Raw genomic sequence first — 14,308 nt, 5'->3', positions numbered from 1 at the left:
ACTTGAGACCCACTGCTCAGGAGGCATGTTGGCCAAATCCTTGTGGAATCTTTCCCTCAAAATCTATTGCAAATTAAAAACACAGTGGAGGTGAATGTTATATCCTGGGAAAATGCCAATCTTATCAATTTAAAAGATTCTAGTAACTAAAGAAAGAATGTTTCTATGGTGTCAAAATCGAAGTGGCTTCTGACTCTATTCCTCAGTTGTACTTGAAAAAAATTCTTGAGTTCTAAACTGAAATAAAATAAATGTTTACCTTAGGAAGGATCAATAGGCTAAAGAATTTTTCTTTTAAAAGTTGTACAACTCCTGGATCTATATTTATTTGGTTCTGTAGCTTTTTTCTCTCATTGCTTTTATTACTATCGTAGAAGCATAAACTGCCCGCGATAGAATCCAAACCAACTCTTCCTATAGGTTCTTTTCTTTTTCTCTTTCCTCAAATAAACAATTCATTGGAATCGTACCAAAATGATACTCATTAGGAAGCCAAAATTAAAGGAAACCAGTAATTGCTCTGGGACCATCTTTCCTCCTAGAGGACACTGTTCTGGCACTGAAACTGTGTGCACATGAGTGTGTTTGAGGATAATCTTTAGCACTTCCATTCAACAATTTCTAGAGTCAAGAAGCATGTATAGTTGGATAAGACGGTCAATGTTTATTTCATGTGGAAAACAATTATTGTATTAGGCCGTTCTTGCATTGCTATAAAGAAATACCCAAGTCTGGGTATTTATAAAGAAAAGAGGTTTAATTGGCTCATGGTTCTGCAGGCTGTGTATGCATGACACTGGCATCTGCTCAGCCTCTAGGGAAGCCTCAGGGAGCTCTGACTCAAGTTGGAAGGTGAAGTGGGAGCAGGCACATCACGTGATGAGAATGGGAGCATGAGACGGGGCAGGAAACACACACTTTTAAATGACCGGATCTTGGGAGAACTCACTATCATGAGGATGGCACCGAGTCACGAGGGATCCATGATGCAGTCACCTCCCGCCAGGCCCCACCTCCAGCACTGGGGATTAACAGTGAACATGAGATTTGGGCGGGGACAAATACTTGAACTATATCAGTTATTAAAATCAGAAGACTTAGGATAATTTCCCCAGGGAAAGATCCTCTGCTTCTACAGAGGGTCCTTTTGTGAACTGTGAACGGTGAACTGCTCCACAGTTCATCCAGAATGATGTTTGGATTTGGTGGAAGCATTCCAGAATATGCCAGTCCTTCAAAACAGGGAGCCCTCACTGGGCAGGGTAGAGGAGATGCAAAGTCATGCTTCGTTGGGTAAGCGAACACTGGCCACCTTCCAGCTGTTTTTTCCAGCTTTGACACACCGAAAGTGAGGTGGTGATGTAACCCAGGCCTGCCCTGAAGCCCATTCGTGTACCACGGATCTTATTATGATACCACCCACCTACAATACAGCCCAGACGGCAACAGGTCCTCCGGCAGCATTGGAGAGGGCTCTAGTGAACTCCACCTAGAACCAGCTGATTTAACGAACTCTCATTCATGATAAGAAACATTCGTCTATAAAATGGAGTAAACGAGAATATAATGAATTTCCCCCAGCAGGTCAAGGTCAGGCTTGGGTATCTGGGTGGGGAACTGATGGTGGCAGGCAGCTCATGCAGAGAGAGAGAGTCTCAGCCAGGCTTGGCCCCGGAGATGGTTTCAAATCTGGAAGTTTCAGGCTCCAGTGAAAAACTCATTTTCAAATGTGTAAGGCTGTGAGTGCCTTGAAAGCAAGCCTGTGTGTTACTCATCTCCACAAGCCCAGCATCGCTCACGTGCCTTTCACACCACTGGAGCTCAGCTCTGCAGGACCAGTAGATCTTTAAGTCCGGGTAGAAAACTGGAGACACGAGTATTCAGCAACGGGATCTTCCCTGGGAATGCTCCGGATATGAAAGGAGATACGAAGGAAGAGAAAGAAAGCTCTACAAATAATAATGACAAATTAGATCGAAGGTTGGAAATGTTTTAAAAGCAATCTGCCCAGACTCTAAATCCTTTCTTCTTCTATTTTCAGGGGGTGAGTAGGGGGTGGTTACGCTGGCTGGGTTGCATGTGTCTGAATTATGGCCGCTGCCACCTCTGAGAGAGAGTGGGGGATGGAGTTGTTTTGCGGGGTGCAGGGAGAGAGGAAGGATGCTGGCCACTCTCATGCTCCGTGTCACTCATGCATTGGTTTAAATTCAGCACGCATCTGCAGATGGCTCACCTCTGCCTTGCTCTGTGGCAATCCTGACAGCTGCCCTCTAAGGTGGGCATATTATTGTTAAGTAGGAGACAGGTTCAAAGGAGCAAAAGGCTTCCCTAGGGTCTCACAAAAAGCAGGTGGCAGAAATGGGATTGAAACCCAGCCCTGACTCTAGGTCCTGTGCATTTTCTTTTCTACCACAATTGTCTGCCTGGGGAGACAGACGATAAGCATAAATCCTCTCGATCAAGCCCAGCCTATTGCATATAAATTGTGCACAAAACAGACCCCACACTGTATATATTTATGGTTGCTTTGCAAGTTTTATGGAACGAGTTAAAGTCGTTTTTTCCTTGTGCTGCTGTGGTTCAGTAATGCTGAAACATATTTCAGCACTTAAAAAAAAAAGCACAGGCTATGATTAAGTATATTAAGAGACTTTTAAAACTTAGATTAACGGCCTGGTAAGTTGTAAAACAACTCAAAATTGTGCAAATTTGTATTCAGGGATTTTCTAAAATTATAAGTTATTGACTTGATACATTGTAACAAGTCCTTTGAAACTGTTCTGCTCCTATTATCCAGATCTTTACTGTGTGGTTTATTGACAGAGTGAGGAACACAATGACCCCCTTGACGGGCACGTGGTAAATTCACAGCTCGTGTAGCTCTCGCTGAAGAGGACCTGCTCATCATTCAGCAAACACAGACATGAAGTTCAGCATCGGGCTCCCTGGTGTGTCTGACGGATGGGACTTCCAAAGGCTGTAAAGGTCCTTGCTCAAGTCTCAGCAGTTGCCTGGATGTAGCAGTTACACCAAGTACTTGAGTACCAGTAAAATGGCAGTTACTCCACACTGTTCACTTGGAGAATAACTGCCACTTCATGCTTATTGCTTATTTATTTCCTTCCTTCCTTCCTTCCTTCCTTCCTTCCTTCCTCTTTCTCTCTTTGACAGGGTCTCTCTCTGTTGCAGAAGCTGGAGTGCAGTGGCCCAATCTCAGCTCACTGTGGCCTCGGCCTTCTGGGCTCAAGAAATCCTCCCACCTCAGCCTCCCAAAGTGCTGGGATTACAGGCATGAGCTACCACAGCCTGCCTTGTTGGGTTTCTAGACAAGGTCCCTGAGACCCAGAAAGGTAAAGTGATATACAAAGTTCAATAATTACATGTGGTGAAGCCAGCGTAGCATCCACACCTCCTCCCTCCCCATTTAATGTCTTTTCACCAGAGAGCATGTGTTAATGAGGCTGTGGTTGTAGACTCTTATAGGAACTGAAGACCTGTAAGACCCATATCCCAGTTAGCCATCTTACAAACAGAAGCATTCACTGAATATATGTCCAGGCGAGAGAATAGGTGGCTGTAAGAAAACTGACCCCATTCTTTGAAACAAACACACGCAAGCTTCTTTCTCTATCTATCTACCTATCTTCTATTTCTCTATTATCTATCTATCTATCTTTCTTTCTTTCTTCATCACTATAATGCTCAAGAATATATTTGCAGCAAAACCCAATGCTATTCTGATCAAGAGCAAAGCCATCAATAGCTCTTGGTTGGAACTTGGGAAAAAACTGGGCATAGAGAGCCTGGTGAATACTTATCCAGGTGATACCAACTGTTGTAGGTCTCTTGAGTGTGGACCATGTATCTGAAGAAACAATTGTTTAAATGTTACTCAAAGGACCAAAAGGATGGATGTCCAAAGGGTGAGCATTTGATTTCTCCTCATGTGTGGAACTTGCCTTTTAGTGACCTGGCTGATGAGTGGCCAACGCTCTTCCTGTGCCATTGTGTCCCACACAGCCAGAATTTAATCATGCAGGAGCTGCTGGAAAGATGCTCTATGCAGAGAGAAATTAATGGAATGAACTCAGGACAAAACCCTTGTCTCGGGTCTGCGTCATTCTAATAGCAGAACAAACTTCATGCTGTCAGCAGCAAAAGAGATGACTGGAAATCACCTTTAGCTTTTCCATCCATTATGACAGCATGGGCAGAACGAGGAAGGAGGACAGCAAACAGGATGAGAAACCACAGATGAGGTGGCAGGCAGGAGGCATGCGCTGTATCCATCCAAGGACAAAGAGAGGTGGCAGGAGCTAAGGGTAAGTAAGGAGGGCTTTTAAGCTCCAGGAAGCGAAAGACTGTTCTAATCCATGCTGAGCCAATTTTCCTCCGTGCCCTCCAGACTCAGTCTCCACCCTTTTCCACTCTCCTGGTGTCCAGGGAGTGGGCCTGCCTGGACTGCATCAGCAGAACCCCCTTGCCCTCTGGAGGGAGGAGGCGAGTCCGGAGGCTCCGCCACACCTTCCTTTCCTCTGTCCCCCCAACATGGTTCCCTCCTTTTGACCCTTCGGACCTAGGCCATCCTGGCACTCTGCTATGACTAGCCCTGGTCTATCTAATTAGCCCTTTTCATTTTCTACACTCCATCCATACTTTTCTAAATAGTCCCGATCTAAGTGTGGTGTCTTTCTCCTGTCAGACCCCAACGGAAACACCTGCTCACTCGGGTAGTATCTTTTTCTCTGTTTGCATTTGCAAGCAAGGACTGTTCTTGGGGAAGGAGAGGGAGGACAGAAGAGAGTCTCATTCTGATGTCCCACTGGCAAAGGGAAGATCATGCCTGTGGAGTGCAGAAGGGGCAAATGGATAGGAAATATTGGGTGGGCACATTGGGGGTTTTAGCGTGTTATGACGCAGCATTGTTTTGCAAAGGCAGAGTTCTTTCCCAGCTGTTACAGCAGTTATGCTCAGAGCATTATGGTAATGACAGCTGACACAGTGATTATCGGCACGGTACAGCTGGAAAAACATGGCAGAGGGGAGTGGGCAGAGGTATCCAAACCTCAGGTACCTCAGGGGCAGACCCTAGAGGAAACCCGTGTCTCATGGAATGCTCACGTCTCCTTGACTGAGAGGGCCAGCCCGCCACCACTGTTCCTCCAAGGGGGAAACCTTCAGAAATAGACTGGTATTCATGAAAATCAAAGCTCTTTTTTTTTTTTTTTCTTTGAGATGAAGTTTCACTCTTGTTGCCCAGGCTGGAGTGCAATGGCGCAATCTCGGCTCACCGCAACCTCCACCTTCCAGGTTCAAGTGATTCTCCTGCCTCAGCCTCCCAAGCAGCTGGGATTACAGGCATGTGCCACCACACCGGGCTAATTTGGTTTGTTTGTTTGTTTGTTTGTTTGTTTGTTTGTTTTTTGTATTTTTAGTAGAGATGGGGTTTCTCCATGTTGGTTAGGCTGGTCTGGAACTCCCGACCTCAGGTGATCCACCCGCCTCAGCCTCCCAAAGTGCTGGGATTACAGGCGTTGAGCCACTGCACCCAGCCAAGCCTCCTTTTTAAATTTTCTTTTTTTAGAGACAGAGTCTAGCTCTGTCGCTCAGGCTGGAGTGCAGTGGTACAATCATAGCTCACTGCAGCCTTGAACTCCTGGGCTGCAGTGGTCCTCCCGCCTCAGCCTCCTGAGTAGCTGGGACTACAGATGCACCCTACTGCACCTGGCTCTCCTTTTTCAAAACTTAATTTGTTGCTATTTTTTTTTCCTAGAAAATTTCAACTGTAGGGATAAACACTAATTTTTCTTTGTGCAAAGTTTCCAGAATGTTCTTCGTTTAACTGGTGGAAAATAAAGCATTGTGATCCACACACCAATAGCAATGAAATATAGCTCACAGAATCCATCTAATTTGTTTTTCCCTCTGGATTATGACCAGGTGGCTAGGAAGAAAATAACTCAAAGACAGAGAATACCCTACTGTTCATTCATTCAAAAAATGAAAAGGAAACAGGACAGGAAAAGTTTAGAAAGGACTTTTTTTCCCTAAAGCAATGATTTATGAGGATAAAAACCACAGTTTCTAGTAGCATAACCAGAAACTATTTTCTCTCAGTTCATTAACTCTGTTCTTAGAGCCTGTTTTTCCAACCCAAAAGTCATTTCATGTAATAGTTCAGTTTCTATTTTGTTATTTCTGGCATCACTAAGACAAAGACCCAGAGAGTTGAATGAAGTTGCTGCTTTGCATGTAGGCACAGCCACTAAATGAAATCCTGTGTCTAGAGGAAAGGCACCTTGGACCAGCCTGGTGGACCTTACGAGCTATAGATGGAGCTCAAAAAACAAATGTTAAAATCGGCTCCATCCACAGCCCCAGTAACAGAATTCTTTTACCTTTATACAAGGGAAACACAGGTTCATACCTGGCTCCAGAATTAGGCCCAGCAGGAAAGCTTCTAATCTCTCAGCTATGAAATCCCTGGAAATTACATTTGTCCTCATCTGTCAGAAAGTGGCAATACCCTGGGGGCATTCATTACTTGCCACACTCCTCATGTTTCGTGCTGTGTGTGTCCTCTACAGCTGTGACCAGGAGAGAAATGTGAGCCGACTTAAAGGGAAAGACAGAAGGGAGCCCTGTGCAGACTGGCTGTTTGTTACAGCTTAAGCAAAAGTGCCAAAGAAACTCTGTGAATCAGGACTTGCACACAAGGATGGGGGTCAGACCCAAGCTGATGTCTACCTGGCTGAGAACGAGTCCCATTCACTGTATGAGGCTCATGGAGTCTTTGCCAAGGGGCTAGTCCCAGGTTCTGGGTATGTGGAGGGTCAGCATTCATGGGGAGACATTCCTCCGCCTCTTCTGTTCTTTCCCCTAAACCTGTTAACTCCTGACACACATCTTATGAATTTCTAAACCATATCGTCTAGTAGAAGATCACAGAAGTTGAGTCAGTGACTCACTGGGCCAAGTTCTATTCGTAGACAGGGAGACTGGGGAGAGTGGACTCATTGCCGCAGTTCCACAAAGCTCTTCCGGTTAGGGGATGCATTGCCCAGAGTTCCACAAAGCTCTTCCGTGTAGGGGATGCACTGCCAGGAGTGCCACAAGGCTCTTCCGGTGAGGGGATGCATTGCCGAGTTCCAGAAAGCTCTTCCTTGTAGGGGAAGCATCGCCCGGAGTTCCACAAAGCTCTTCCGGTGAGGGGATGCATCGCCCGGAGTTCCACAAAGCTCTTCCGGTGAGGAGATGCATCGCCCGGAGTTCCACAAAGCTCTTCCGGTGAGGGGATGCATCGCCCGGAGCTCCACAAAGCTCTTCCGGTGAGGAGATGCATCGCCCGGAGTTCCACAAAGCTCTTCCGGTGAGGAGATGCATCGCCCGGAGTTCCACAAAGCTCTTCCGGTGAGGAGATGCATCGCCTGGAGTTCCACAAAGCTCTTCCGTGTAGGGGATGCACTGCCGAGTTCCACAAAGCTCTTCCGTATAGGGGAAGCATCGCCTGGAGTTCAACAAAGCTCTTCCATGTAGGGGATGCATCGCCCAGAGTTCCACAAAGCTCTTCCATGCTGTTGGCTCTTTTGTCTCCTAAACCCTCTTCTCTCCCTGGAGATTGTGGAAGTGCTCTTGACTAATTCTCTGAGCTCTGTGTGGGTTGAGAGCTTAATTCTGTTGCCCAACCTGGAAAGGGCAGATGGGGGAGTCGGGACACCCGTGTCTTATGCCTGACTCTGTTATGACTTAGCTGTGTGACAGGGGACATTTTTGTTGGTCACAACTTGGAGGGTGCTACTGGCATCCAGAGGATAGAAGCTTGAGATCCCAGGAAATGCCCTACAGTGCACCAGGCATCCCCCTACGACACAAACATCTGGTCCATGACATCACTCGTGCCCCTGTGGAAAAACTCTGCCCTAGATTTGTTTTCTCACCTGTAAACTGAGAGGTTTGGATTAGATCATTTTAAAAATCATTTTCAAAGACAAACTTTGAAAAGTCGATGGTGAAGCATAAAATTTTACCTTAAATTTAGATATGAATCATAACATAAATGATGCTGAGAAGCAAAAATGAATCTCCCAAAGTATATAAGTGAAATGACAGTAGCTCTTATCAGTAATAAGGGACTGTGCCTTGTGGCTAAGGTAGCCCCTTAAGCTATAAAGATGTGAGAAATGGCATTTTATCAACAAGGTATCCAACAAGGCATTCATTTAGAGAGAAGGAAAAAAATCCCAATTTCCAAATCCCAGGCTTCCACTTAGGAGAGGCTGGAGGGAAGTGATACACACAAACCCCTCCTGTCTAAACAATGTGCCAGACAGAAAAAGGCCAGAGGTGATTCGTGTGGAAATGGGTTTTTACAGGAGCTGCAATAAAGAACCCCCTTTCCCAAGCCCTACTGAAATGAAATGCTAGCTATATAATCAATGTCATGAAGCAGAAAAGGCCTGGGGAACACCAGGGAAACCTATCTACTGGCCAGGCACACGGAGTGCAGGTCCAGAGCTGGTGAGCAGGCTCTCTCACCAGGACGTGTGACAATCATCTCCTGCTGTGTAGCTTGGGGCCCCCTCCCACTGGGCTGTCACGCTGACAGAGGCTGACCTCACAGGTCTTCTTGGAGGGTCTCAGCATTGGTATTCATCCCTGAAAAATTCACTACACCTCCACAAACACAACTGATAGCAAATATGATTACAGGGAGTTCTGGGGGAGCTGAGGAGACAGGAGACGTGTTATGAAAGGGAAAATAAAACTCCCAAACCACCAACAATGACACTTCACGTATAGATGGCTGCCCAGTGGAATGGGAACGCTGCGTCCCGGTAACTCTGGAGTCTATGTTCAAGGAAGATCTAGATAATTTAGAAATATCAGTCTGGGCTCATGAGGATCACCTGCGCTTGTGATCCTCTGAGGCTTAATTGTTATATTTCATTCTTACAGTTTTCAGATTGGGAGAAAATGGGGCACTCAAGAGCCATTTGGACTTTTCAAAGGTCAGGGTCTGAAGAGCCTGATGCTTAGACACTGATAGGGACCCTGACTCTAAAAACCTTTGCAGGAGTGGAGGTGCAGGCATGGTGGGTGGGAGGTGTGATCTCTGGCTTAGACACCAGCATGAAACACCCCCGGGAAGCATCAGGAAATGTCTTAAGTAAATGCCAGGAAGGGGAGGAGGCAAATGAGAGAGTTCAGGCCACAGTTGCCTCATTTTCATAGTTCAAGAAGTCATTCATGAAGAATGTCACACACACACACAAAACAGATAGAAAAGGTAGCCTCTGCCAAGGTCTCCTTTCCTCGTATGGACATTTATGATATTATGATATTGACAGCACTAATAATATTGTGGATTTTAAATCTTCATTTCCCCAACATTCTCACCCACATGGTAATTTGGGTGATTTAGACAAGCCACTCTCTGAGGGGAAAGTTGGAGAATGCAGAAGTTAGTGCAGTCAGCAACTCCAGCAACCTGACATATCTAAGAGTTGGAATATCGAAGGAAAATCTAAAAACAGGTCAGTGAGTGAAATCTGACCTCTACCTAGCCATGAATAGATGATTGTTTTTATTTTTCTACATTTTTTTTTTGAGATGGAGTCCCACACTGTTGCCCAGGCTGGAGTATAGTGGCACGATCTCAGCTTACTGCAACCTCTGCCTCCCGGGTTCAAACAATTCTCCTGCCTCAGCCTCCCGAGTAGCTGAGACTACAGGTGTGCACCACTATGCCTGGCTAATTTTTGTATTTTTAGTAGAGATGAGGTTTCACCATGTTGACCAGGCTGGTCTCGAACTCCTGACATCAGGTGATCCACTCGCCTCTGCCTCCCAAAGTGCTGGGATTACAGGCGTGAGCCACCGCCCCCAGCCTACCTTTTTCTTTGAAAAAGATATAAAAGGCCAGGCGCGGTGGCTTGAGCCTGTAATCCCAGTACTTTGGGAGGCCGAGGCGGGTGGATCACAAGGTCAGGAGATGGAGACCATCTTGGCTAACATGGTGAAACCCCGTCTCTACTAAAAATACAAAAAAATTAGCCGGGTGTGGTGGCGGGCGCCTGTAGTCCCAGCTACTCGGGAGGCTGAGGCAGGAGAATGGCGTGAACCCGGGAGGTGGAGCTTGCAGTGAGCCGAGATCGCGCCACTGGCGCTCCAGCCTGGGCAACAGAGCAAGACTCTGTCTCAAAAAAAAAAAAAAAAAGAAAAAAAAAAGAAAAAGATATAAAAAAGACAATCTTCCCTAAAGAGCACAATTCCTATTTTCACCATTCTTTGAAAAGGAAGATGGTGATGTGCAGGGCATACTTGGGGCAACAGAGAAGCCACCCTGACTCCCCGTCACACCCACGATGTTAGTCACAACGTTAGGCAGTGCCTTGCCTGGCCTTTGCAACCAGGAGACTCAGGCAAGAGCAGCAGTCAACGGCCCTGCCATGGACTTGAGGGGCAGAAGGTGGACTCCAACACAGCCTGAACTCCAGAACCTTCCAGGGGAGACACCGGCCCTGGAGCAACCAGCCTGTTCATGGCTCAGCCAGCCTGGCCACACCTTCCTGCTCTCAGATCATCTTGCCTGGCTCAGTCCTTTGCTTCTTGGGCACTTATTCAAATTAAATGGTCTCGGTCAGGCATGGTGGCTCACACCTGTAATCCCAGCACTTTGGGAGGTCGAGGCGGGCAGACCACCTGAGGTCAGGAGTTCGAGACCAGTCTGGCCAACAAGGTGAAACCCCATCTCTACCAAAAATACAAAAATTAGCCTGGCATGGTGGCACATGCCTGTAATCCCAGCTACTCGGGAGGCTGAGGCTCAAGAATCGCTTGAACCCGGGAGGTGGAGTTTGCAGTGAGCCGAGATCACGCCACTCACTCCAGCCTGGACAACAGAGCGAGACTCCATCTCAAAAACAAATTAAATGGTCTCTAGGAACTACTGAGGTTGGATCTGAAACCACCAGCCAAACCAAAACATGTCAGTCCTCATTCTCAGATCTTAAAGCAGTCTTCCCTTACCCACGGTTTTGTTTTCCAAGGTTTGAGTTACCCACAGTCAACCTTAGTCTGAAAATATTAAGTGGAAAATTCCAGAAATAAATAATTCATAAGTTGTAAACTGCACACCATTCTGAGTAGTGTGATGAAATTTCACCCCATCTCATTTCGTCCTGCCTGGGATGTGAGTCTTCCTTTTGCCCAGCACCTCCTGCTGTCTACACTGCCTGCCTGTTAACCACTCAGTAGCCGCCCTGGTTACCAGATCAGAAAAACAGCACATACAGGGCTCGGTACTTTCTGAGGTCTCAGGCATTCACTGGGAGTCTTGGAAGGCTATCTGAGGATAAGGGGGAACTACTCTATAGAGGAAATTGTTCTTTTTTTTTCCTTGGCCAGTTTGCAATGAGCAAAAGCAAATTTCTGCCTCGGGAGGGGTCAGTGAGATATCAAATAAGTTAAAAAATAAGCAATAAGATGATCCACAAGGAACTGACTTCAGAGGAAGCTAATCTTCACTCATTATTATTATTCTTTTTTAATTTTTTTGTGAGACAAAGTCTAGCTCTGTCACCCAGGCTGGATTGCAGTGGCTCGATCTTGGGTCACTGCAACCTCCACCTCCTGGGTTCAAGCGATTCTTCTGCCTCAGCCTCCTGAGTAGCTGGGACTATAGGCACCCACCACCACGCCCGGCTAATTTTTTGTATTTTTAGTAGAGACGGGGTTTCGTCATGTTGGGCAAGCTGGTCTCAAACTCCTGACCTCGTGATCCACCCGCGTTGGCCTCCAAAAGTGCTGGGATTACAGGCGTGAGCCGCTGCTCCCGGCCTCATTAATTTTAAAAGCACTGTGACCTCGGTAAACTTTGGGCCTGTAATGTGAAAAATCAGCATTTTAATTTAGATAAAATTTGCCCTGTGAGTCTCATGTGTAACCCTCTTGGGGACAATGACGGAGCATAACCCTTTGTTTCTGGTCTGTTTTCTTGGGATTTCTCTTTTGCTTTTGCTTGTTATTCCGTGTGTGTTTTAGTTGGACAAGAAAGGTTTTATTCTTCCTCAGGTTCTGGGCAAAATGTCAAGAACTCCATTGATATGTGTATTTATAAAGAATTTTACGCTACAGAATCTGTTCAGAGCAGGTGGCAGGAGGAGGTGAGGACGTGTTTCTCCATTTCTGCTTGGGACAGGTGCCCTTGCCAACAGAGGACGCCTGACCATTTCCCCGCAAAGACACATCTGAGCCACAAAAGGCCTTATCAGTTGATCTGCTTTTGGTCACACAGGCATTTCATAGGGTCATGCTAAATGAAGCGAACAACATACACTATACGTAGGTAATACATTATGAAGTAAATGTGGGCATTAGAATGGGATGAATGTGAGAAGTAAGGAATAGTATCATCGGGATGATTCCTTCTAGGAAAGGCAACTGAATATTTCATTTTTAAAATTTCATTTTTAATTTTAATCATGAGATAAAATTCACATAACATAAAATTTCCCACTGCAGCGAGTAGGAATTTTAACTGAGTGTTCACCGGGAGGGTCCTGAGGTCAGTGATGGCTACGGTGCTAGCAGCGCAGGATACCGTGCCTGAAAATGGGCTGGAGAACAAGAGAAGTGTGTCCTGCCACCTTTCCCGGGGCCACACCCTCAAACCAGCCACCCTACTCCAGTGGCACTTCTGCTCCCAATAAGAGTTGGGAGCTAAGTGATGAATCCCCCAGAACCTCAATGTCCTCAGTGTCGGAAACACAAAAGCACGTCTACCTCCTTCTGTCTCCAAAAGGGATCACAACCCTGACCAGGCATGAAAGGGTGCTCTGAAACATTCCAGGCCAAACGACATTAGGTAAATAAGTCCTGAGCAAGGGCAAACCATTCCTACGGCCACGTAGTAAGAGTCAGCCTGTCTCTGTTGGGGCAGGTACACAAGCCCTTGGTCTTGTAGCCTTTGCAAAGCGAGGTCGTGAGATCTGGACTCTGTGCACAGTTGCCACACTTGTCATACTTAGCAGATAAAAGCTATTCCCTGAGGATATTGTTCTAACAGAATCCCCCATTGCTAAGGCCAGCAGCACGCTCATCTTGTCTCAATCAAGGCAGAGTAAAGAGGGAAGCCAGCCATGCGTGTCTGTCACTCGGACGATTAGCCCCTTTGATGGTAGATACCTCTTTGAAAGGCTGGCTCTTACAAGCGCCTGATTTCTCCAGGAAATAATTTTCCTACGTCTCCCAAGGACAGAGAAGGATGAATGTCCTTACAGGGCGTGAACTAGAGGCTCACAAAAGAATCTGTGGAAATATAGCGAAGGTTCCTTGGTAACCTCTGACCAAACCCAAACCTTTGAGAAACAAAAGCGACAATACAGAATCCACTGTCTACACAGACAGCTTGTTAGGATGACTCCCCTCCTGAGCTACCACTTAGTTTTCTAAAATCGTGAGGAAGGCTTAATTGATTCTGTTACTTAAAGTGTTTAGAGAGCCTGACAAAAGGAAGGCAAAAGCTAATGGACAGGCACCTCTCAAGAAAAGCCAATCAGGCAGGAATTACAGAGCAGTTTATACAACATCAGTTCTGATCTGATCACTTTCTCATCAGTGAAGGAATAGTGGAGATGGAATGACAAAGAGGCAGGCTCTATCTTTCTGGAAATCTGACTTATCTGCCCCTTGATCTAGGGACCAAATAACTCTTCAGAGCTGGGTAGGTGTCTTTCTATCAACAGCGTTGATTTGGAAGTTGCATGGTATTGTGATTAAAAACATAGGTGGGGCTTGGGAGGGGAGCCCCGGTCAGTCCTAACACCACCCTTAGGTACATCACTAACATCAAGCAACGCAACTCCCATAGGACCAAAGGCAAGTACAGGGCTTTCCACACAAGGGGTACTTACTAGGTGTTTTGCTGAATCACTAAATGTGTGAACGAATCCAGGTCTTTGTCATGGAGGGACTTAGGATCTAACTGGAGAAGAGGACATGATAGAAACAAGACAGGATATGATGCAGCTTTGTTATTTCCCATGATGAACACATGGATTAGAAAGCAGATACTATTATCATTCTCGCTGATATATTTTCACTCATTATGTTAGATTTTAACATGTTAGATTTGATGATATCTGGAAGGCAATGTGAACACAGAATCAGAAGAAAGAATATGTGGCTCTAACACATAGCACAATAAGACCAATATATCCTCATTCTGGGAAACAAAATAACATAAAACAAAACAAAATACAACAATTTCAGTTTGAGCATCAGCTGACTTTTGCGACCTTATGTTTAA

General features: G+C 46.0%; 1 protein-coding gene across 1 annotated transcript in view, besides 1 other annotated feature; it reads right to left on the bottom strand.

Annotated features, from left to right (window-relative positions):
* Nucleotides 1–14,308, bottom strand: part of KIF26B (kinesin family member 26B) — a 554,448-nt gene that overhangs the window by 124,352 nt on the left and 415,788 nt on the right. The gene's annotated exons all lie outside the window — the stretch shown is intronic.
* Nucleotides 899–2,098: an enhancer, noted in NCBI's record as "CDK7 strongly-dependent group 2 enhancer chr1:245746285-245747484 (GRCh37/hg19 assembly coordinates)". NCBI's record gives its function as "activates an origin of replication core promoter dependent on BRD2, BRD4, P300/CBP, MED14 and CDK7 cofactors, with strong dependence on CDK7, by STARR-seq in HCT116 cells {active_cell/tissue: HCT116}" and the evidence as "EXISTENCE:reporter gene assay evidence [ECO:0000049][PMID:35650434]".

The sequence above is a fragment of the Homo sapiens genome, chromosome 1, assembly GCF_000001405.40.
Source record: "Homo sapiens chromosome 1, GRCh38.p14 Primary Assembly".
NCBI lineage: Eukaryota > Metazoa > Chordata > Mammalia > Primates > Hominidae > Homo > Homo sapiens.
This window is presented reverse-complemented; position numbering and strand designations above follow the sequence as displayed.